This window comes from Homo sapiens, chromosome 2, assembly GCF_000001405.40.
Source record: "Homo sapiens chromosome 2, GRCh38.p14 Primary Assembly".
Lineage (NCBI taxonomy): Eukaryota > Metazoa > Chordata > Mammalia > Primates > Hominidae > Homo > Homo sapiens.
In genome coordinates this window covers 73,833,638-73,858,721 of record NC_000002.12, presented here as the reverse complement: position 1 = coordinate 73,858,721, position 25,084 = coordinate 73,833,638, and the positions used below count along the sequence as shown (strand labels likewise).

Genomic DNA, 25,084 nt, shown 5'->3' with positions numbered 1-25,084 from the left:
AATATTGCTTAATACCAGTATGTGAAGAGACTCATAATTTCTTTCCTTTTTTAAGTTCAAGAGACTTACTATACAACATGGTGACTACTGTTCATCACAATGTATTATACACTTGAAAACTGCTTAAGAGAGTAGATTTCAAGTGTTCTCACCACAAAAAAGTATGTGACATAATGCATATGCTAATTAGCTTGATTTTCCCATTCCACAATATATGCATACATATTTCAAAACATATAGACTATTGTTATTTGTCAATTAAAAAAAGAAAAAACAAAAACAGGCTGGGCATGGAGGCTTATGTCCGTAACCCCCAGCACTTTGGGAGGCTGAGGAGGGCAGATCATTTGAGGTCAGGAGTTTGAGACCAGCCTGGCCAACATGGTGAAACCACATCTCTCTTAAAAATACAAAAGTTGGCTGGGCGTGGTGGCGGGCACCTGTAATCTCAGCTATTCGGGAGGCTGAGGCAGGCAGATCATGAGGTCAGGAGATCAAGACCATCCTGGCTAACATGGTGAAACCCTGTCTCTACTAAAAAAAAAAAAAAAAAAAAAAAAAATACAAAACAATTAGCCAGGCGTGGTGGCACGCGCCTGTAGTCCCAGCTACTTAGGAGGTTGAGGCAGGAGAAGAGCATGAACCCGGGAGGTGGAGCTTGCAGTGAGCCGAGATCGCGCCACTGCACTCCAGCCTGGGTGACAGAGCGAGACTCCATCTCAAAAAAAAAGAAAAAGAAATAAGGAGTATAAACAATTATTGGAAACTGGAAGAGCTGTCTGTGGTGAAGGATACAATGAGAGAGGGGAAGGGGATGAAAATAACTAAATGAAATAACTTAGATTGCATTGTCCCCAGCAGAATGACAACTAAACAGATGAGGATTTGTCTGAAGAGCAATCGTGGGGAGATGCCACAAGTGGGGTGGGGGAGATTCCACTTCAGTTCCTGGGTAGGTGGATGTATGCCCTCACTTACATTGTGCAGAACCATAATTCTGAGATTCTGTAGAGTGTCTGATGAATGATAAGGTGATCTTTTTCTAATGGAAAGTAACAGCATTAAGCCCAGGCAAGCGCATGCCGTCCTAGCTCATGGTTATAGATGACATACCAAATAACCCACCCACCACATTTCATCTAATTCACTCAGACAACCTTCTCAGGGAGAGAGCTCCCAGAGGTCACCAAGGCTGTACTGGACAAAAGTAAACTGTGGACGAAGAGGCTTGGAACTTTCTGGCTTCCCTTGTTTGAAGGCAGTGGAAGATGTTAGGCAGCTTGAGCACTCAGGGGGAAGGGGGAACTGGAGTAGGCAGACAAAAAGGGAGGTAAACACAAAGGGGGAACTTTCTTCTCTGTACTACTCAAAACGGGGACTCTGATCCCACTGGTTCAGAAGATCTAGGGTACCTGATGGGTTCTGGAATTCCTGGTTGGATGAAGGACTGTAGGCGCAGAGCCTTGATGCGAGAAGGCATCAAGACATCGGGCCATTAAACAGGTAGGGTATGGAGAGGACCCAGGGACAGAACTCAAACCTTCCATCTGGGGCATCATCGGGGAAAGATACTGTTCCACAGTGTTAAAACTCAAAGACCACTGCAAAGTGGGAGAAAAACAGAATTCTGAGGCTGGAATAGACAAGGCAGAAGAATTCAATGCTGTGCCACATTCCAGTTAAACAAATTCTGACCTCACAAAAGGAAATCAAGATCTAGGTTCCAAGTGTGAAGAAAAGGCTTCCCTGGGGTTGGTGTGTGCTAGCCAGGAGATCAGTATGGTGGGTCTTGTGGGGTGTGAGAACTGGCAAGGGGAACCCCATCTCAGATGACAGCACACAGAAACTGGCTTGGAGACCTCCTTCAGGCACATACCTGCTGCACAAAGATCACCAGACAGTAGGAGTGGAGACAGGAAAAGACATTTGCATCTCAGGGTTGGAGACAGAAGAGGGGGTTGTTTGTTGATATTTCCTGCTCTAGCTCTCCTGTTCTTGAACCAAATTGGAAGAACTCAAGGACTATGATGTTGGATTCACCCAGGGATCCATGGAATCAAAGGTGTTAATGGGGTTGTCATGATGGGCATCCATGGACAAGGTAGGTGGGTGTCCTCAACAATTGTGAATGGCACTCAGTGGCCCTTGGAACTTTTGCTAGGGAATTTCTTCTATCTCCTCTAAGAAGTGTTTCTCTCTGGATGATTCAGGCTTTGGTTTTTCAAGAGACTCATAATTTCTAACTGACCATCAAGACTTATTTGGTTCCTTACAAGGTCTCTTCATACCACTGAGTCACCCATTCTGGAACAGATGGTACATACCCAATATTTCAACATGGTGGAAGTCAAGGACTTAGTAAACCACAATTAGATGAATGATTCTTCTCTCCCACAGAGGTGTTAAAAGGTCAAACATGAATCAGGTTCTATAGGCAAAGGCTGTCCTGTAGCTAAAGCATCATCCAAGGAAGATATGGGAGGTAGGGGAATACTTGAATTTCAGTTGATAGTTAAACCATACAAAGGAGACCATTCTGTTTGGAAGGAGAACACGATGCTAAAATTTGAGGTTAATCAGTTAAAATATCACCTAAATGTGCATCCCGATTATTTGTTTCCATTGTTTGTTTTATTAAGCACATATTTTATATACAAAACAGACAACTATATAATGACTTATGTTCATCTTAGAGGAGGTGTGATCTTAGGTAACAAAAATGGAAAAAGATCTAGCATGATTCAAAAAGACAACCAACCTTCACTGACAGAAAAGCACAGACAATAAAGACATGCAATTGACTAGCGTTTTCAAACCTGCTGTCCAAAAAAACAAATCTCCTGAGGAGCTTGACAAAAGCCCAGACTCCTGCACCCCACTCCTAGAAAGAACCATCATGAAGGAACATTTTTCTTGAAAGCTCACTAAGTGATTCTTATGTGCAGCCTCATCTGAGAAGCACCATTCCACAGGGTGCTGTGATGAGCTCACTGTGGAAGAAGCCTTCAGGACAGGAACGTGTTAGCTCAGTGCAGGCAGCAAATCCACACACAAGTCTTCATGGGGCATGTAAGGACTTCAGTGACCACAAAGTTTCTACCTGATGAGAATATAATCCTTTAGGCTGCTAAAGAGCAGTGGCCTGTGCCAACACCACCTTCCATCCCATGGTTAGAGTCCAGGATTCTAACTGGGAGCAAACGTGGGTAGCCAGAAAGATAATAAAGAGACATAAGCAGGGACTCAGTAAACAACTCTTAAACAGAATCAAAAAACTTTGCCATGATCCCCTGCTCCTCTCTAACTACTGTACCTTCTCTCCCTCCTTCCTTTCACAGTCAAGTTTCTTGAATGAATAGTTCATTATGTTCACTGTGCCCATGCTGCTGGGGATAGAGGAAGGCACTTTGACAAAGAGAAAACAATATACCGAAGGAGCAGAAATGAGCAAGGAGGGTGAATGCTGAAGGCAGCCTGGGTACCTAAGAGGGAAATTTTCCCTAAAGGGAAATGGCTCAGATAGCGCTGAAACATGATGAGGAGTGCCTTGAGTTCTGGGCTGGAGGTTTGACAACAGTTGGTGATCAATCCATAACCATACTTTTGACCTGGGCAGCTGATTCATAGTTGACAAGGTTAAGAAGGAAGAACTGATCTTTTGCATTTTCCTCTGGCCAATTTTAAGATCTGAATAAATCTTTCGGTCTGCTTTTCGTTTGTTTTTGAGATAGGGTTTTCGCTCTGTTGCCCAGGTGCCCAGGCTGGAGTGCAGTGGTGTGATCACGGCTCACTGCAGCTTTGACCTCCCAGTCTCAAGCGATCTTCCTGCCTCAGCCTCCCAAGTAGCTGGGACCACAGGCGTGTGCCACCACAAATGCATAATTTTTTTTTTAATTTATAGAGATGAGGTCTTGCTATGTTGCCCAGGCTGGTCTTGAACTCCTGGCCTCAAGTGATCCTCCCACCTTGGCCTCCCAAAGTTCTGGGATTACAGGTGTGAGCCACCATACTCAGCCTGTTTGTTTTTAATCCCGAATTAGGAAGGAATGGTGCAGAAATATGGAGGAAAAAAAGCTGAACTAGCTGGGCACAGTGGTGTGTGCTTGTAGTCTTAGCTACTCAGGAGGCTGAGGCAGGAGGATCACTTGGGCCCAGGAGCTCAAGGCTGTAGTGCAGTATGATTGTGCCTGTGAATAGCCACTGTATTCCAACATAAACAATGTAGTGAGACCTCATCTCAAAAAATAAAAATAAAAAAGCTGAACTACTATCAATTTAGGCTTCAAATCTGTTCCCAACTGGACCCTCACTGATACTTAAAACTCTTTTATTCATTTGTAGCTAAGTTCTACCTGAAGTCTGTACAGTAATGATTCTAAACTTTCCCCCATCTCCTCCAGTTTCTAATTCCTCCTTGGTCTCCCTCTTGCTCAACAGCAGACCTAGACTCCAACCTTATTGAGGTCAAGATTGTCTAAAACGTGTTTCCTCAACTCCTCCAGACATCATTTCAAAAATCTCTCTGGATCTTCATTTCCGTTCATTCAATCTTGTCTTGGAGGAATGGATGTTTTTCCCCCTGTGAAGATGAATCCCTCTATGTACTTCTCATTCGATCCTTCCTTATCACCACATTACCTTGTCTCTCCTGCCCTTTTACATCTCCATTGTTGGCTCATTGGGCATAAGAACATGTTCAGAAAACTACACACAAGAATGTGGATAAACCTTCAAAATGTTGAGCAAAAGAAGCAAGACACAAATATACATATGGTATAACTCCATTTACAAAAAGGTAAAAGCCAGGCAAAAGTAAACTATAGTGTTTAGAGATACACATTGAAGTGGTGAAATTATAAACGAAGCAAGGAAGGGAGGACTTCCCTCCCTTAGGGCATGCATGCTCCTGACAGTGTTCTGTTTCCTGACCTAGGTAGTGTATGTACATAGATATTTGCTTAATGATTTGTTAAAGTGTACATTTAGTTTCTTTTTTTCCCAAGACCAAGTCTCGCTCTGTTGCCCAGGCTGGAGTGCAGTGGCGTAATCTTGGCTCACCACAACCTCCGCCTCTGGGGTTCAAGCAATTCTCCTGCCTCAGCCTCTCGAGTAGCTGGGACTACAGGCATGCGCCACCATGTCCAGCTAATTTTTGTGTTTTTAGTAGAGACAGGGTTTCACTATGTTGGCCAGGCTGGTCTCGCACTCCTGACCTCGTGATCTGCCCGCCTTGGTCTCCCAAACTGCTGGGATTACAGGCTTGAGCCACCGCACCCGGCCTAAAGTATATATTTAGTTTCTGTGTGCTTTCTTATTACATGTGTTATATTTCATCAAAACAAAACATGTTCAAGCCTTTCACTTTGAACAATCAACCAAACATTCTCTCAACCCAACTTCTCCTTAAACCACCATTCCATGTTTCTCCTTTCCTCTAGAGCTAAGTTGCTCAAAATGGTAGTGTATACTTCATTGTCTCCACAAACTTAATCCCTATGAGTTCTTAAACTCTTACAGTCTACTCCCATTAATGCCTAAAACACACTAAATCGAGATCCTCAATAATTTCATCAAATCCAGGCCGATCCGAGTCTTCACCATTCTGGAGCTCTCCATAGGATGTGACATGGTTAACATCTGGAAATTTTTTCTTAAAGCCTTCCTTGGCCGGGTGCGGTGGCTCATGCCTATAATCACGAGGATCACAAGGTCAGGATTTCGAGACCAGCCTGGCCAACATAGTGAAACCCAGTCTCTACTAAAAATACACACACACACACACACACACACACACACACACACACCTGGCCAACATAGTGAAACCCAGTCTACTAAAAATACACACACACACACACACACACACACACACACACACAATTAGCCAGGCATAGTGGCGGGTACCTGTAATCACAGCTACTCAGGACACTGAGGCAGGAGAATCACTTGAACCTGGGAGGCGGAGGTTGCAGAGCCAAGATTGCGCCACTGCACCCCAACCTGGGCGACAGTGTGAGACTCCGTCTCAAAAACAAAACAAAACAAAAGAGCCTTCCTCCTCCTATGGCTTCTGTGCCTTACCACTACCCTCACCTTTTTCATACATCTCTTTGCTCCATTGCTAACTACATTCTATGTTACATTAGGTAGCCTGTCCCCCAAGTTGCCAGTGAACCTTTTCTTGCTCTAGACTCTTCTCCTACTTCCAGGGCTTCCAAGATCAGCACTAAATAGTGGATTCCCAGAGCCCTCTCTCCTGCTTTGACTTTGCTCCCAAGTTCTAGCCCTACATTGCCAACTGGCTGATAACTACCTCCAGTGATTTAATATCTCATCAATACCTGAAATTTAACATGCTCAGAACTGAACCCCACTTTCAAACCAAATCCTTCTCCTGGATCCCCTACTTTTGCTTATGAGATGATCACTGCAAGGCCCCAAATCTCTGAGTCACCATTGACTCTGAGTCATCATCCTCTATTACTCATTTCCCAAATCCTCTGAAATCCTACATTCATCTCCTCCTTCCCAAACACACTAGCATCACCCTAGCTCTTATCATTATTAGGCTTTATCAGCACACTAACCTCTTAAATCATCTCCTTGCCACAACCTACCTTAAAACTGTATTTATGTTAAATTTTCTAAAGTATGGCTTTAATCATATCATTGCTCTACTCAAAAACCTTTAGGAATTTTCCACTTACTAAAAAGTGGAACAATTCTGCCTGTCCACCCCAGACCCTCCAGAACTCGGCTCCAATGTACTACATTAAAACATATCTAGCCGGGCGTGGTGGCTCATGCCTGTAATCCCAGCACTTTGGGAGGCTGAGGCGGGTGGATCACCTGAGATCAGTAGTTCGAGACCAGTCTGGCCAACATGGTGAAATCCCATCTCTACCAAAAATACAAAAATTAGCTGGGCATGGTGGCGGGCGCTTGTAGTCCCAGCTACTTGGGAGGCTGAGGTAGGAGAATCGCTTGAATCCGGGAGGTGGAGGTTGCAGTGAGCCAAGATCTTGCCATTGCACTCCAGTCTGGGTGAAAAGAGTGAAACTCTGTCTCAAAAAAAAAAAAAAAAAAATCTACCACTGTTTCCTGATATGAACCATAAATCTCAGTGAACTGGTCCCCCCAGTGCTCCAGGGACAGAGTCCGCCTCTTCTCCACCTGTCTGCTCCTTAAGGAACTTGCCCTTGGCCCAGCTTGCCAACATTCTACTAAACCCTATCAGGCATGGTCCCTCCTTCCTCTGAATTCCACAGTGCCTCGCTGGCACCTCTTGTGGCCTTTAGCACGTTCTGCCCCAGGTGAAGTTATTAATTGTCTATTTATTTAATCTCCTTCATGAGGCTAAAATCATACCTTACTCAAATTTGTATGCCCTGGCAGATAAGGAACAAGTTTTCTCTCCCCCATCTACTACAATGGGGGTGGGATGGGGATACACAATAATAGGCAAATCATCAACATGAATGTAATTGAATAGAAGAAAGGACAGAAGGCACATGGGACTGCCTCACAGGTCAGTCTTTCCCAAATTCTGGCATACAAGTATGTGTAATCCAAGAATAAGCCAATTTATTTGTAACTCTGTCATACAGCATAAAATGCAGCTTGGGCTATGAGAGTGAGGGGTTGAAAAGGAATAGAAAGAAAAATTTAAAAATAATCTTTAGGGAAGGCATTATATTTTACCTGAACATTACCAGAAGGCTGCACAAGATATGCAGACACTTGAAAATCATGTGTATTTATAGCCCTTCTTGTTTATATAAAGGTGCTTTAAGAAAGACCAAATGCAAGCATCTGAATTAACCTCCTTGGCTCATTTAAAATATTTTGAATTATATACCTTTAAGGAACATCATCTGTACACAGTAGGCATAGTCTCTAAGGTCAATGTCCACTTATATTCTAGGCCAGCATCCCATCACCAGTTACACTCAGAGGGAAACTGGAACTTTAGGGAAAACAGTTTATTTTTACTAAAAAATAAATAAAAAGTTAAAAAAATTTAAAAGCCCTAAGTGTTCCCAGAAAACAATACCAAAGTGCAATAGTCAAGTATGCTAAGGACTGCATCCAAAAGAGAGAAAAACAATAAATAATCTGGATATAATTGACTTTGTTCAAAGAAACACTCATGTATTTATACCACCATGGGAGAGGCAGAGACTAACTCTCGGACAGCTCAGAATTGCTTACATGAATCCAGCCCAGTGTGATGAGGCCCTGCTGATCCTGTATGAGGAAAAGTTCTTCTTCGTTCTCTGTGTTGCAGTAATCAGACCCAGCACTTTGCTTGGGGATGAGAACATGGGTAATGGTAAATTCATTCCTCATCTGCCAAAGGAGAAAACAGCTGGTCACAATTCCCTGGTGCTCATGCAACCCTGCTCCACTCCATCCCGACAGTGGAAAGGTAAGCATCTATACAAGTGAAAGCCCTTCCCACACAGCAGGAGTCCTGCCACTCAGTGGTTCACAACCTTGGCTGCTGATGCACATTGCCTGGGGTACTCTGTACAGCGACAGATGCAGAGACCAACCCCAGAACTCTGCAGCCTGGGCAAACACCACAGCCCTGAGGGAATTTCCTGCTGTGCCAAACTGCTCTGCTGAGAAGCTCTGGGTAGAGTACCATTTCTCTTCCCTTGCTCAGGTCTAAAGTTGTTGTCCTGTCACTGTTTCCTTAAGCCCTTCTCATCCTGTAAGCCTCGGCTTACATTTACTCTACTTCATTTATTTATTCATTCAGCAGTAATGGGTTCTTTAAGTGCCTCCATTCAGTGACCTTTCCTTCCTCAAAATTCCCAATACTTATACTGTACATATTTTTCAGCATGCTGGTTAGACTTTAGTGCATGTCTGCCTTCTCTCCAAAGTGACTGGGCACTTTTCGTGGACACATACTATGTGCTTTACATATTTTATATTCCCAGGTCCTACCATAAAGTAGGTACCAAAAAAATTGATATGTAGATAATGACTGGATCTTCCTACCAAGTTTAAAATTAGGTATTTCTTACTACTAGCATTAAAATAACCACTTCAATTCAATCAATCAATACAGGGTCACCAAATTCAAAGTGACATGAAATTATGCAGTCCACGGTTCCTTGGTACAAAGAGTAACTGACCCTGGATATTTTCTCTGAGAGTCACAGGATGCCAAGAGGGGAAGAAACAGTTTCGGTTCAGAGAAGAGTTTGGTTTTTTTTTTCTTTTTACCAGTTTTCCACAGAGAATTCCACATGTCTCCACTCCCCGGGCAGTGTTGGCACTGGCTAACTGGAGAAACTGTGGGCACAGCCGCCCAGGCACCACCACATGGCGCAATCCATCGATTGTGGGAACTGTAAAGGAGAAAGGAGAATAGTCTGCGACCACTGAGCCCTGCCTCCTCAAGCAGACCTCACAGCCAGCAGCCCTGGAGGAGCAACATTAAGCCACTGGGATTCCCCCAACTTCAGGCAGTGAGTAGGGATCTCATTCTAATGGCACCAAAAAAAGGGCTGTAAAGTGTCTTCTCCAATCTTGGGCCACAGCTGTAAGGAGCACATTACTTCAAGAAGAGAAAATAGTAGGCTTTAATTATTCAAGTTAAGAAAAGGGCAAACTACTACCTTAAGAAAAGTTTTCTTAAAAATAACCTTAAGAATGTAATTGGATTGTTTGTAACTCAAAGGATAAATACTTGAGGGGATGGATACCCTATTCTCCATGATGTGCTTATTTCATATTGCATGCCTGTATCAAAACATCTCATGTACCCCATAAATACATACACCTACTATGTACCCACAAAAACTTAAAAAATAAAAGTAAAAAATAAAATTTAGGGGGGAAAAAGACACAAGTTCTTGAAACATTTGGGAATTTTCTGTCAGAATCTAATACAAAGAATTAAAAAAATAACCTCCCTGCTGTGGTTTGACTGTGTCTCCCAAAGTTCATGTTTTGGAAACTTAATTCCTAATGCAAAATTATTGAGAGGTAGGATCTTTAAGAGGTGATGAGGCTATGAGGGATCTTTGTTTGCCCTTCCACCCTTCTGTCGTGGGATGACGCAGCAAGAAGGCCTTTGCCAGGCCCCTGGGTCTTGGACTTTCCACTCTCCAGAACTATGAACCAAATAAATTTATGTTCATTATAAATTATCCAGCCTCAGGTATTCTGTTATAGCAGCACAAAATGGACTAAGACACTGCCCATTCATCTGAACTTTTAATTTTAAATCTCTTTTATCTCAGATAAGAATATCAGAGTATGACTTTAAAAGAAATACACTGGTGTATATTCTTGAGAATGGAAAACAATCTGGGCAGTTATTTACTTCTGAACTTACTCTTCTGGAAGAAGTTAAATGCCAAACCACAACAAAATAAAAAATACAGTGTAGTCCCCCAAAAAAGGCATGAACAAAGCAGCTCATAAAAAATGCCAAGAATGGACCCAGTTTCTGAACACCATGGAGAAACTCTGTGAGACAGCCAGCAAGCTAAAGTTAGGAAGTGTCTCTCACAGCTATATTTTCATATTTAAAAAAAAAAAGTGGGAGGGGAAAGATGTTCTGCTTTTGCGTATTCAACAGCAAGATCTGAATTGCTAGAGAGGTAACAAAGTCAGAGCAGGGGACACAGAGTCACACAGCAGTCTGATGATGTTATCTGAGGATTATGAATTCGGTTTGGCACATTCTTTTCCTTTCACTAAAAAGTTGACAGTCTGACTTTCAAGAATAATATTAGCTCTTCAGAAAATCGACCAGACTAGGTTTCAGCAAAGGCCACTTTTATAACATAGCCAGTGTATTAGGACACAGTACAGCAATACTTATCAGATGGGTTTCTGTGACCAAAGCTTAATGAGTGGGATCAGGGAGGTAATCTTAGGTTGACCCCGTCAGAATGATACTGTTTGGCTGCAACTGAGAAGGAAGAGGACATCAGCAAATGCACTTACTACTTTCTGAGTTGCTCAGTGCTCCAGGTTTCAAGGACCTGTCCACCACAGGTGGCTTAGCTGGCCTTACAGTTGTGTGACAGTCTGAAGGCTGTATGGATGAGACTGTTAAGGTGGGGAACACATCTAAGGAGGGCTTCTCCAAGTCAGGCACTAGCGGGCCACCTAGGCCAGGGTCTACCTTCCCAAACTCCTGTACAATTTTCAGTCGCTCTTTTTCTAGCTCCTGGTTCCGGATCATCTCCTCGAAGGCATGGAACTGTTCCTGTTCCAATTGCTGCTGCTTCTGTTGTGCTACCCTCTGTTTTTCCTTTTCCAGCTCTTGCTGGATGGCCATGTTCCGGGCCAATTCCTCTGCTTCCTTCTTCTACAAAGAGAGAAAATTTAGGCTAACACTTCACACCTCAGTGACTTCACACTTCAGGAGAACAAGGCTTTTTAGCATGGAGATTTCCAAAATGTACTTCTGCTGTGGCCTGATTACCTAACACAGAATTCATGCTTTCCTCAGTATCTTTATACCCACGGAGTGTAGTCACCACCCCTTTCTATCTGGCCACAGTATACCTATCTCCAAGGACAATTAAAATCCCAATCCTCTCAATACCCTCCCGACAATGACTCTACCTAATGCACTTTCCTCTTCACTGAAATCTTTTTTTTTTTTTTTTTGAGACAGGGTCTCATTCTGTTTCCCAGGCTGAAGTGCAATGGCATGATCACAGCTCACTGCAGCCTTGACCTCCCAGGCTCAAGCAATCCTCCCACCTTAGCCTCCTGAGTAGGTGGGACCACAGGTGTGCACCACCACACCTGGCTAATTTTTGTATTTTTTGTAGAGACAGGGTTTCGCCATGTTGCCCAGGCTAGTCTTGAACTCCTGGGCTCAAACAATCTGCCCACCTCGGCCTCCCGAAGCGCTGGGATTCCAGGTGTGAGCCACAATGTCTGGCCTGAAATCTTGATGCAACTTACTATCTGTGTTCTCCTAACCTGTATCACAGACAGTTTTATTCTTCTCTCTGTGTCATGTACATATTCTATATTTCAAGTAAGGCTATAAAATAGAACCAGATCCAAACTTATACCTGCTATCTTGGGGGTCTCTACTGAATTTTTTTTTTTTTTCTTAGAGAGTCTCACTCTGTCACCTAGGCTGGACTGTAGTGGTCAATCATGGCTCACTGCAGCCTCAATCTCCCTGGGCGCAGGTGATCCTCCCATCTCAGCCTCCCGAGTAGCTGAAACCAGAGGTGCGTGCCACCACACTAATTTTTGTATTTTTTGTAGAGACCCAGCTAATTTTTGTATTTTTTGTAGAGATGGGGTTTCACCATGTTGCCCAGGCTGGTCTCGAACTCCTGGGCTCAAGCGATCACCCACTTCAGGCTCCCAAAGTGCTAGGATTACAGGCATGAGCCACCACGTCTTGCCTTCTACTGAATTTTAACCCAAAATGAGGCCTCTGAAATTTTTATGGTTTTTGTGCATTTGTTCAACACAGAGTGACATTTTAAGCTAATAAGAAATACTTGAGAGGCATTTGGATTAAAAAAAAAAAGAAAGAAAGAAATGCTAAGTAATAACCTCCTCCTTAAAGCTTACACTCACTTGGTGCTTTAGAAGTATATACCTCATAGCTGTTCATCCCTCTGCTGATTTTCAACATCAGAGTCCAGAATAGAGACCAGCAGACAGCTACACAACAGCCTGTGAGTGGCTGCAGTATGTATTCACAGCTGGCCACTGACAGCGCCCTGGCAGTTTCTCCACATGTTTTAACTGACTTCCTAAAAAGAATCATTTGAAAATAGCTTGAAATGGCTGGGTGCAGCGGCTCACGCCTGTAATCCCAGCACTTTGGAAGGCCGAGGCAGGCGGATCACTTGAGGTCAGGAGTTTGAGACCATCTTGGCCAACATGGTGAAACCCCATCTCTACTAAAAATACAAAAATTAGCCGGGTATGGTGGCGGATGCCTGTAGTCCCAGTCACTCGGGAGGCTGAGGTAGGAGAATCACTTGAGTCGGGGAGGCAGAGGTTGCAGTGAGCTGAGATCGTGCCACTGCACTCCAGCCTAGGCGACAGAGTGAGACTGTCTCAAAAAAAAAAAAAAAAAATAGCTTGAAAAGTCAATTCTTATAAATAGCTTCAGGTATAACCAAATGTGAATCCAACCCTCAAATTCTCTGATCTAAAAACCTATGTTTTGGAGAGAATGTTCATTGTTCTTATGATTCTCACTCTAGACATAGCAGGTAGGCGACAGATTTTCTGTCCCTCAAGTCACTCTCTTCGACAAATAGGCTATATCTGTGTTACAACCCTGAGCCTAACCACTGGTGTTCTACTTTTTTGAGTTTCTGGTCTTTGCCCAAAAAAGGTGAAACAGCACATTAAAAGCACAGGATATATTGAAATGTCATATTACAATCCCAGGGCACAGCCTAAAAAAGCAAAATAATTTTCTTCTTAGCTGTTATATACTGACCTTTTCTTCATTATATTCTGTATATTCTTTGGTATATCGTTTTAACAGCTCTGCCTTCAGCTCTTCTGCTTTGGGAAATGCAATCTCCTTTAATTTCTGAGACACAAAACAGAAAATAGAATTAGAACAATGCCAGAAAATTACAGAATCCAAAAGAAGACTTAAGTCAAGTTGGTGACTGCAACATTTCCCAAAATGATTTAAAATACCCCCTACTGTACCATACCTGCTACTTCAGAACTGTTGTGGTGAAATGGCCTTATCTCCTATTGCAGGATCTGGTACTCAGATGCAGAGACTACTACTTTTATCTTGAAGTCAGTCTGTGCTGCTCTGAAGCTTTTAGATGGGCAACAATGAAAGTGAAGACCCACCTTTACTGTGTCTTTCTTTTCAGGAATGACAGCAGATTTGTAATCTCGATGTTTTGGTAGTTTCTCAATAAAGAGCCTAAGGAAACAGTTCAAAATGATTATGAAGCAAATGGTCCAAATGTCCATAAGACCCTAAAGCTATGCAACCCCCTTATCCTGAAGCCCTTATATGAAAGGTTCCAGAAGTGCAGCGGAGGGAGAGCTAATACACCCAGCTGGGCCATGCTCCTTTCCCATCTCTATCCCCCTAAAGAGCCAGAGTCTTTTCCTCTACTCCCAAACTAGGCAGCAAGCACCAGACTCCTACAATGAAAAAGATGGCCAAAAAAATTTTAAAAAGCCTTTCTTGTGCCCAAAAATGTACCTCCAAAGAAAGAGATCTTTTTCTTGTTGTGACGTGACAGGTTTTCAAAGGAAAGGGCTTCTGTCACATAGCAGTCTTCAGAGAACCGTTTGGCAGCCATGGGCAGGAAGCAAGAGAAAACCATGTTTCCTTACTCCTTCTAGCTCTTATGTAACCTTTAACTTTGGCTTTTTTCCTTTGGGATTCGTGTTCCTTCAAAGAAGAATACTACTTTGCATCATACAAAAATGCATGGAAATACTTAGTGCATGTGTTCTATGCATGTAGTATGTGCATATTACATGTTAGCATGCACTGTCTTTGATGAAAAGTGCTTAGGTAAATATAAGATGCTAGATTTCATCTTTTGGTTCTTGTCCATGGCTCTAAAGCTCAGTGGGGAGAATAAACTTAATTAATTCACAAATCTCTAACATTTAAGACATCTACTTAGGGGCAGTGAAAATAAATAAAAGTCCAGTAACCTGTCACAGAAAGAAAGTGGCAGATTCAGAATTTCAGTATGAGCAGGCTGGCTCCAGAGCCTATTCTTTTAACCACTACACCATACTTCTTCCATACGGATTCTGGAATGTCTAGAACTACTGGAGGGATTCTGAACAAAGATGTCTTTTAACAGAATTAAGTTGTAATACACAGAAACTGAGATAAAAAAATAAATTGAAGGTAGCTTGCTGATAGCTCTAAAATATTATATTGTAATTGGGATAAACTCTTTTCTACTTACTGCCCATGGGGCAGAAGTAATTGGAAGAAGAATCCTCAATAAAGAAAAAAGATGATCCCCACCAAAACAAACTTTCTAAAGATAAGTCCTCATCCTTCAGTTCTATATTAGGCACACAAGTTTCATTTTGATCCAACTTGATAAGGCTCCTCAAGGCAGGGATGGACTCTAAAATAAAAATGGTTCTTTAAAAAGCTTCCTTTTGGGTTCATGAAGAAGATATAAAAGAGGCTGGGTGCGGTGGCTCATGCCTGTAATCCCAGCACTTTGGGAGACCGAGGCAGGAAGACTGCTTGAGCCCAGGAGTTCAAGACCAGCCTGGGTAACAGGGTGAGACCTTGTCTCTATTTATATTTTTTAATTTATATATATATATACATATATATATATACATACACAAACATATATAACAAAACATAAAAAAACACAAAAATTAGCTGGGTGTGGTGGTATGCATCTGTAGTCCCAGCTGCTTGGGAGGCTGAGGCAGGAGGATCTCTCGATCCCAGAAGTCTGAGGTTACAGTGAGCTTTGATCACACCACTGCACTCCAGCCTGGGTGACAGAGGGAGATCCTATCTCTATTTGGAAAAAAAAAAAAAAAAAGAAAGATATAAAACAGTTTCCTTGAAGTCTATATTTAAAAGAAATACAGATTCATTTGTTCAAACCATAAAGTCCTGAAGAATCTATTAAGATAAATAAGACATATTTCTTATATTTTAGAGACTGATAGATGATTCAGTAGAACTCTCATCTTAGCCCCAAAAGCCAAGATACATATTAATATTTACTACCTTTAGCAGGCTGAATGTGCTTTGTATTGAGGCCTGAATCAGCTAAGAAAGTACTATGTCATATAAACACTATGTTTTATTTTTACTTATGCTCTTATTATAGAACTACACTGCGAGCTTCCTGAGGCCAGAGATTTCTGTGTTTCATGCTTCTTTGTATACTCCTTGGAAGCCAGCACAGTGCCTTGTATAAAGAGGCACTCAATAAATATTTGATGAGTAAACATTACATATATGTACAAGTATGTACATATACACAGTAAGTCCTTAATGTTGATAGGTTCTTGGAAATTGTGACTTTAAGCACAATGACATATAACAAAACCAACTTTACCATGCACTAATTGACATAAACAAGAGTTAAGTTCCTTTGATCTATCCTGGTCACAAAAACACCAGACTTCTAAATACAGACCAAAACACTTCTAATATTAAACACTGAAATAAATATGAGCTATACATACATTTAAGAAAGACTTATAAAAACAAGTAAGTAAATGATTTACCTGCCTATTCAGTCCCAGGTGGCCAGAGTCCATCCCAGCAGCTCAAGGCCAAGGTGGGAACCAGCCCTGGAGAGGATGCCATCCCATTGGCATCACACATACACTTGCACTCACTCAGACTGGGGACAATTCAGACATGCCAGTTCACCTAATGTGCAGACCTTTGGGGTGTGGGAAGAAACTTGAATACCCGGAGAAAACCCACACAGACATGGGGAGAATGTGCAGACTCCACACAGACAGTGGCCCCAGGCAGGAATGGATTTTTCTTTTCTCATCAACATTAAAACAAAACGACATTGGACAAAACGACATTATTTGACAACCTGCCGTATTTAGCCTGCCGTATTTATTTACTTTGCTTTGTAAGTATACAAAGAAACAGGAAGTATACACAGAAATGAGGGCAGGGGTAATAGAACAGATAAGAGTAGGTGTGAAACTTTTCACCAAGTACCTCTTTATATTACTTTGACTTTGAGCCATGTAATGGAAATCTAGTTTATAAGTAAAAAAACAAAAACAAAAAACAAACAAAAAAAACCTCCCAGACCTGTACATGAATAGCTTTCCCTTGCTTCAACAACTGTAGCCAGTTTTCTGAATGGGGATAGATGGGCAAAAAGGTCTCCTGAAACAGACAATGGGCAACATACCCCATTACTCATACTGGAGGTAAAAGAACTTAGTGGTTAGTAGGGCTGGCTCTGGAGCCACTGTGCCTGGGCTCAAATCCTGGTTTTGCCATTTACTAGCTATGTGACCTTGGGCAAGTCACTTAATCTCACCATCCCTCAGTTTTTTGCAGGGGTGTCCAACCTTTTAGCTTCCCTGGGCCACACTGGAAGAAGAACTGTCTTGGGCCATACATAAAATACACTAACACTAACTAGCTAATGAACTTTTAAAAAGGTGATATCTGCTACCATAGATAAGCAAAAAAGTCCTTGCATTCAAAGGGTTGGACATGGCTGATATCCTGTCCATAAAATTGTAGAGATGGAGACAAACTAGTACTCCCTGACAGGCTTGCTGTGACACTTAAAGAGATAATAAAATGCTAAACACGGTATCTAGAACATAGTCAATATTTGCTATGGGTTTCTATGATTTTTTTTAACTAATAAACAAAAAATGTGAGCAAGAATAAGAGATGAAGATGCTAACACCAGCATCATATACAGGTTTGGGAGTTTTTTCTTTACTTATAAACTAGACTCCATTACATGGTTCAAAGTTCTATCCCTAGAAACTTTCTAAGGATAGAAAGCGGTGGCCCAGATGTATACTGTTCTCTGGGGTTATATCTGGTTGAAGCCTGGAGAGAGGAAAGGTACCAAAGCAAACAAAGATATGATTGCAAAAACACAAGCAAAATGACCCAATAAACAATGAAAAAAGAAGACATAAGCAGAAAAGTAAATACAAAAGATGAATATATGCAATAATGCTGAATCCACTCATAATTAAAGAAATTCAAATTAGGATGAGATACCATTTTCATCCATCGGATTGGCAAAGGCGTAAAGGTTAATTATACCTGGTAGAGAAATGGGACTTAAAGGTTGATCATACCTGGTATAGAGAAATGGGATACCCATACAGTGTTAGCAAGATTGTAAATTAATATAACCTTTCATCTTAAGGGAGGGAAAATGGAAGCTAATTATTCAAAATTTAAAACGTGTATATCCTTTATTTTTAATTTGTACTATTTATTTTTTTTTTGATTTATTTATTTTTTTTTTTTTGAGACAGAGTCTTGCTCTGCCGCCCTGGTTGGAGTGCAGTGGGGCAGTCTCGGCTCACTGCAACCTCTACCTCCCAGGTTCAAGTGATTCTCCTGCCTCAGCCTCCCGAGTAGCTGCGATTAGAGGCACCTGCTACCACGCCCAGCTAATTTGCGTATTTTTAGTAGAGATGGGGTTTCGCCATGTTGACCAGGCTGGTCTCCAACTCCTGACCTCAGGTGATCTGCCCGCGTCAGCCTCCCGAAATGCTGGGATTACAGGCGTGAGCCACCGCATCCAACTTAAAATGTGTATATCCTTTAAACTCACAATTCTATCTCTAGGAATTTATCCTAGAGATCATTATAAAACAGTACAAAGATATATGTATAAAAATATTCAATACAGCATTGTTTTAAAAAGTAGAAAAAACTGAAAAAAAAAAAAAAAACAAACCCCTAAATGTCCATCAATAGGGGATTGTTTAAAAAATAATGTGCATTCAAATGTGAAGACAATGTAATCATTCACCCATTCATTCAGTGAATATTTACTGAGCATCTACTACAGGGTCCAGAATTATTCTAAAGGTTGGGGATATGGCAGTGAACAACACAGTCAAATATTCCTCCCCACCATAGAGTATACATTACAATGGGGGAACAGACAATAAACAGAAGTATGCTAGGAAAGTCATTAATAGGGAAGGGGGATAGAAAGGGATAGGGGAATGGTTGAAATTTTAGATACAGCAGCTAAGGAAGTCATCATTAAGAAGGAGGCATTTGAGTAAGGACTAGACAAGAGTGAGCCATGAATCTGGGACTGTTCCAGATTCATGTTCCAGGCAGATGGAATAGCTCTGAGGCAGAATGAGATGGCTCAGTATGTCCTGATATGGAAAGACACTACTGTGAAGAAAGCAAGTCGCAGAACAGAATACGTGGTAAGATCCCATTGATGCTTTAAGGAAAAGGACACATGGGGGCACCTATGAGCTTAATCACACCTCATCCATGCCAGAAATACAATAGTGGCCACCTCTGATAGATGAGACTTCTCTTTTCACTTTAATATCTCCCTTGTAGTGTTTGAAAAATTTTTTAAATCGTGAATAAGTGTTAATTTTGTATGAAAACAACTAATTCAAAAAGTCAAGCAAAGGTTCTTTAACATGGATGCATTAAGGATCCTCATCTCGATTCTTCCAGTCTTAAAAGTTACTCAGCATGGTAAGCATGATCACAGATGGAACCTTCTTCAGTCTATAAACCCCAATCCCAGCAAACATTTTCAACACAGGTGACAGTTCATTTTCAGAAAAAGGGTTGGTGTTCCAGGAGGCTCACATAGCACACAGGAATTGCCTGAATACTCTCACTCCCTTCTGGGCAGCCTAGTTGATGACCATAAAAAGCTGTGAAAGAATCCACTGCCTGGTTTATTGTCTGCGCTCATCATGAAAATATGTACTGATTTAATATGCTGAACTCTTTCTTCTATACTGGGGTCTGCAAAAGGCAAAGCATTCCTACATTAGGGAAGCTACTGAGGGGGGAAATATGCCTGAGATCATTAAGATGCCTGAACTGCTCCAGGAAAAGGAACAAACATGCCTTTTAAAACCCTGAAGTAAAGAAAGTATCCACAAAAGGTCTAGAACAATGATTCTCAGTAGTAGGGGAGGCAGAGGAGTGGTGAGGCAGATGTATACTCCCCTCTCTTTTCTCCTCGGTTGTAGTAACTGCCAAAGCTGAGCCACTGTTATTGATAGGAATGTACTAAGTAAAATACAACAGAAAACAGACTGAGAATCAGTGAGCTAGAATTTGTTTGCAATTGCTGTGATTTTCTGTTCACAGAATCAGAATCAGAATCAAGATTTTAAAGGTATCTCCAAGAAAAGTGAAGGTAGCTACATTAATTACTTCAGGTAAGGCCAATACAACAAAATTCCAAATTAAACTCTAAATCCCACAAATCAAGTAAATGAGCTGCTAAATCTCATCCGCACCAACTCTCCTAGTAGTTCATCATTTTAAGTGGTCCTATAAGTGACAGGGACAAACTCCCCATATCAGTCTTGCTGTTAACACTAATATGTCACTCAAAATAACACTAAGTGTCATAAAAAACAATTCCTTAGGCATCCATGTACTCTTAATCCTATCCCCTCTTGACTTCTGAGGAGTTTATTAGTACAGCTAAGCTCTCTTCTGGACTGTTAGCCTCTCCTCCTCCATAAGATCCTTTTCCATCAGCAAAAACATGCTCTAAAATCTCCTAACTTAAAATACATACACATGTTCACACGCTCCTTGTCCCCCATCAACTACTTCCCCATTTTTCTACTTCCCTTCCCATCTAAACTTCTCCAAAGAGTTGTCTATACCGGGGTTGGCAAACTACAGCTGGTGTGCCAAATCCAGCTAGCCATCTGTTCTTGTAAATAAAGTGTCATTGGAACCAGTCACATCCATTCATTTATGTGTTGTCTATGGCTACTTTCACACTATAAAGCAGAGGTAGTCACAGACACAGCAAGTAGCCTACAAAACCAAAAATTTTTACTCTCTGGTCCCCTATAGAAAAAAATTTGCCACTTTCAGGTCTATACCCTTTGCCTCCACTTTCTTACTGTCCATTCACCTTTCTACCCGTTCTAATTAGGGTCTCTGTAATCCTTCTAGCGAAATTGCTTATGAAGATCACCCATGACATCATCTTACCAAACCCAAAGGCCAATCTTCTGTCTTCACCCATCTGACATAGGTGGCTACTCTCCTTTTTCAAACACTAATTTATTTTGGCTCCCATGACACAACACCATTCTCTCTTGGATTTCCTCCTGCCTCTTGAACCTCCCTTCAAAGAAAGTCTCCCCTATTGACTCTCCCTCCATTAACTAACCTCAGGGCTCAGTCCTAGGCTCCTTCTCTTCTCATTCCCTAGCCTTATTAACAAAGATACTTGATCTTTTATGTTCCATGGATCCTTCTGGCATCTGGTGAAGCCTATGGACCCTTTTCAGAACAATTTTTTTAAGGTATAACTTAAAGTACAAAGGATTACCAAGAATACCCCAATTTTATGGAAAAACAGTTTTCAAAAATTTTAAAAATTGTGATATATTCTTCTGTATTAATGTGTTCTTTTTTTTTTTTTTTTTTTTTTTTTTTTGAGATGGAGTCTCGCTCTGTTGCCCAGGCTGGAGTGCAGTGGCGCGATCTCGGCTCACTGCAAGCTCCGCCTCCCGGGTTCACGCCATTCTCCTGCCTCAGCCTTCTGAGTAGCTGGGACTACAGGCACCTGCCACCATGCCAGGCTTATTTTTTGTATTTTTAGTAGAGATGGGGTTTCACCATGTTAGCCAGGATGGTCTCGATCTCCTGACCTCGTGATCCGCCAGCCTTGGCCTCCCAAAGTGCTGGGATTACAGGCGTGAGCCACTGTGCCCGGCCTAATGTGTTCTTTATCAATGCATTTGATAATGGGATCTAGCTGTAGGTCTAATAATTCTGTACTGTAATTCTGAAGTAGTGATGTTTAGATGCTATTTTGAGATGTCAGCAACAACTGTAATGCAATATGAAAATATCTTGATTTCTACTGGTGACAAAATTACAAATATTACTACTACTGTACTTTGAGGCCTACATTCAAAATGGAAGGAAATGCTAAATTTCAGTCACTGGTTAGAAAAAACAAGAAAAGTTTTTCCTATTCCGGTTCACAGATCCCCTGAATTCTATCAATGAATCTCTGTGAGGTTCCTGGACCCCAGATTAAGAGCCCCTTCACTAGAAAATCTCAGGCATTCTCAGGCCCTTCTCTGCATGCCTCAGGAATCCTGAGCCCCGGGGACCTAGTCCTACAGGGCAGCAGGCCAGGCCTAAGCCTCCATTTCTTCCCCAGCCCCTGGCCCAGGGGTTGAAGTGGAGATGGCAGCCCCTCCCCAGTGTGCATGCACCTCTGCTGGCAGGAGGCCAAGCCTCTGGCCGCAGGGCCTAAGAGCTGGGCTTACTCAAGCTCAGCTGAGGCCACCCTCTGAGCCCCAGGGAGGAAGAAGGCCCTGTTCCCCAGCCGGCGGCCACTGCTCTCCCTCCCAGCCTCTAGTCTCTGACCCTTAGCAGTGCCGGGCCAAGCGGAGTGTTCTCACCAGTCATCTGCAGGCTTTAGCCATCCAGCCCTTTCCCCTGCTCAGGGCTGGGGCTGGACAGGGTCTATTCCTCCCACAGCTCCCTCCTCCACCCCTCACATACACAACTTCTTGGCCCAGCCAAGCAAGTCTAGGCCACAGAATGGCACCAGAGGGGTCTGTGGTCAGCCACCCCACCTTGAGGGCAGCGCGGGCACCACGGGGTGGAGGGGAGGGGGAGGCTGCCGGGAGCCTCCAGATGCTGCCTGCTGGCCTGCAGGAGAGCCCTGCAACAGCTGCTGCTCCTGCCTCGGCAATCGCCTCACCTCCTCCACCCCAGCCCCCATTCGGAGGTTCCGACGACGGGCCAGCCCTTGGCTGCTCACAACTGATTCAGTCTCCCTCCTTCACACGGGGAAAGCACAGCAGGGATGTGTGGAAAGAATGTACCTGTAGATGTGTACATACCACAGTGCTGTAATTTTGTATGTAGCAATCATGTAAATACATGTATGGATTTTATTATATACATATATAAAAATCTCTAAAGGCGTATTTTTAGAAAAACAGCGCACCACTGCTTCTTTTGAAAATAGTCTGAATAAGAATAAAATTAATTTCTACAGCAGAAAAAAAAAAAGAAAAAGAAAATCTCAGCCATTCTCATGACTTCAGAACCATCTGTATGCTGAGGACTCCCTTGTCTGTATTTCCAGCCCAGACCTCAGTCTTCTGAGTTCAGACTGGTACATTCAACCTCCCACTTGACATCTCTACTTGGATATCTCACAGGCATCTCAAATTTTAACATGTCAAAAAAACCCCAAACGTGAACGGTTAAATTCCCCCGCTACCCAGCCCTCTTTAGAGGGCTTTTCCCATCTCAATACATGGACTACCCTATCGTTTAAGTTGTTCAAGGCAGAAACACGACATCAACCTCCGCAGTATCTTTTTTCCTAAGTGATTAGTAAGTCCTATGGACCTGACCTCCAAAATACCAAATCCATCTGTCTCTTTCCATGTTGCCACACTACTTCAAGCCACCAGCCTGCAAGAATTTCCTAACTACTCTCCCTGCCTTCTCTTAACGCTTGCTCCACCATTTACCACACAACTGCCAAAATTTATACTTTAAATATTGATTGGGCATGGAGGCTCACACCTGTAATCCTAGCACTTTGGGAGGCTGAGATGGGAGGATCGCTTGCATCCAGGAGTTCGAGACCAGCCTGGGCAACATTAGTGACATCTCTTTTTTTTTTTTTTTTTTGAGACCGAGTCTCGCTCTATCACCCAGGCTGGAGTGCAGTGCCGCGATCTTGGCTCACTGAAACCTCTGCCTCCCGGGTTCATGCAAGTCTCCTGCCTCAGCCTCTCGGGTAGCTGGGATTGTAGACGTGGGCCACCACGCCCGGCTAAGTTTTGTATTTTTAGTAGAGATGGGGTATCACCATGTTGGCCAGGCTGGCCTTGAACTCCAGGGTGGCCTCCCAAAGTGCTGAGATCACAGGCGTGAGCCACTGTGCCCGGCCGAGACCTCATCTCTTTTAAAAAACAGTAAGTAAATTTAGGTCTGAATCCCACTTAAAACTTTTCAATGGCTTGCTGTTACCCTCAAGATAAAAAACAGACTCCTTACCATGGCCCATAAAGTCCTGCATGATCCAGCCCCACTTGCCTCTCCAGCCTTACCTGGAGTCATCTTGCTTTTCTCTGGCTATACTCCAAACACAATGATCTTTCAATCCCCAGAACATGCTAAGGTCTTTCCCATCTAAGCACTTCTAAACACATAGTTACCTGTGTTTTAATGCTCTGCCCTATGCTCTTGGAATGACCAACTGTATTGCATCCCTCAAGTCTCAGCTCAAATCTTGTCTTCTCAGACAGACCTTACCCTGACTACTCTAGTCATAAACCCCTGCTTATTCTCTATCACAGTACTCTTAAGTATTTTCCTTATTTCGACTACAGCTGACTTTTGGACAACATGGGTTTCAATGGTGTGGGTCCATTTATACACGGATTTACTTCTGCCACTGCCGCCCCTGAGACAGCAAGACCAACCCCTCCTCTTCCTCAGCCTACTCAACATGAAGATGACGAGGATGAAGACCTTCATAATGATCCACTTCCACTTAACAAATAGTATCTATATTTTCTATTCTTTATGATTTTCTTAATAACATTCTCTATTCTCAAGCTTACTTTTCTGTAAGAATATAGTACATAATACATACAATATATAAAGTATGTGATAACTGACCATGTTATCAATAAGGCTTCCAGTCAAGAGTAAGCTATTAGTAGTTAAGTTTCTGGGGAGTCAAAAACTTTATATATATATATATATATATATATATATATATATATATATATATATATATTTTTTTTTTTTTTTTTTTTTTTTTTTTAAGACATGATCTTGCTCTGTCCCCAGGCTGGAGTGCAGTGGCGTGATCTCGGCTCACTGCAACCTCCACTTCCTGAGTTCAAGCAATTCTCCTGCCTCAGTCTCCCAAGTGGCTGGGGTTACAGGCACCCGCCACCACACCAGGCTAATTTTTGTATTTTTAGTAGAGACGGGGTTTCACCATGTTGACGAGGCTTGTCTTGAACTCCTGACCTCAAGTGATCCATCCACTTCGGCCTCCCAAAGTGCTGGGATTACAGGTGTGAGCCACTGTGCCTGACCATATGTATATTTTTGATTGCATGGGGGATTGGTGCTAACCTCTGTGTTGTTCAGGGGTCAGCTGTATTTATTTGCTTATCTGTTTATTGTCTTCTCCCATACCTATAAAGGAACACCAATAAGGACAGGGGCCATTTTACTCACTGCTGTTCAGGACCTAGTGCAGTGCCATGTAGACAGCAGGTATACTCAATATACATGTGTTGAATGAATATGGTCTTTGCCCTGAAAGCCCTTTCTATTGTGGGGCAATAGGATTCTGAAGGCCCTTCAGGAAATACCTGGTGCAGT

General features: G+C 42.4%; 1 protein-coding gene and 1 long non-coding RNA gene across 33 annotated transcripts in view; one reads left to right on the top strand and one right to left on the bottom strand.

The window, feature by feature from the left end:
* STAMBP (STAM binding protein) overlaps positions 1 to 25,084 on the bottom strand; it is a 44,696-nt gene that overhangs the window by 14,935 nt on the left and 4,677 nt on the right. For 20 of the 28 annotated variants that reach the window (NR_148671.2, NR_148670.2, NR_148668.2 and 17 more), the window contains 5 exons: positions 13,834 to 13,909; positions 13,460 to 13,555; positions 10,969 to 11,335; positions 9,235 to 9,359; positions 8,209 to 8,346 (listed from right to left, as the gene is read on the bottom strand). Coding sequence is in view for 24 of the 28 variants with exons in the window: in XM_047442964.1 (XP_047298920.1) it covers positions 8,209 to 8,346; positions 9,235 to 9,359; positions 10,969 to 11,335; positions 13,460 to 13,555; positions 13,834 to 13,909 (802 nt within the window). In the remaining 4 variants the exon portion in view is untranslated. Of the gene's footprint in view, positions 1 to 2,612; positions 5,688 to 8,208; positions 8,347 to 9,234; positions 9,360 to 10,968; positions 11,336 to 13,459; positions 13,556 to 13,685; positions 13,910 to 25,084 lie in introns of those variants that run through there. The other 8 variants (NM_001353976.2, NM_001353974.2, NM_001353975.2 and 5 more) reach the window with 2 other exon arrangements.
* LOC112268419 (uncharacterized) lies at positions 1,745 to 24,360 on the top strand. 5 transcript variants are annotated; one of them, XR_007087106.1, is made up of 3 exons: positions 1,745 to 2,101; positions 19,820 to 19,890; positions 24,073 to 24,360. It is a non-coding gene; the product is annotated as an uncharacterized LOC112268419 (long non-coding RNA). The 5 variants fall into 5 exon arrangements; XR_002959405.2 differs by lacking the exons at positions 19,820 to 19,890; positions 24,073 to 24,360 and adding exons at positions 9,077 to 9,479; positions 13,735 to 13,931; XR_007087101.1 differs by lacking the exons at positions 1,745 to 2,101; positions 19,820 to 19,890; positions 24,073 to 24,360 and adding exons at positions 8,341 to 8,425; positions 9,077 to 9,479; positions 13,735 to 13,931.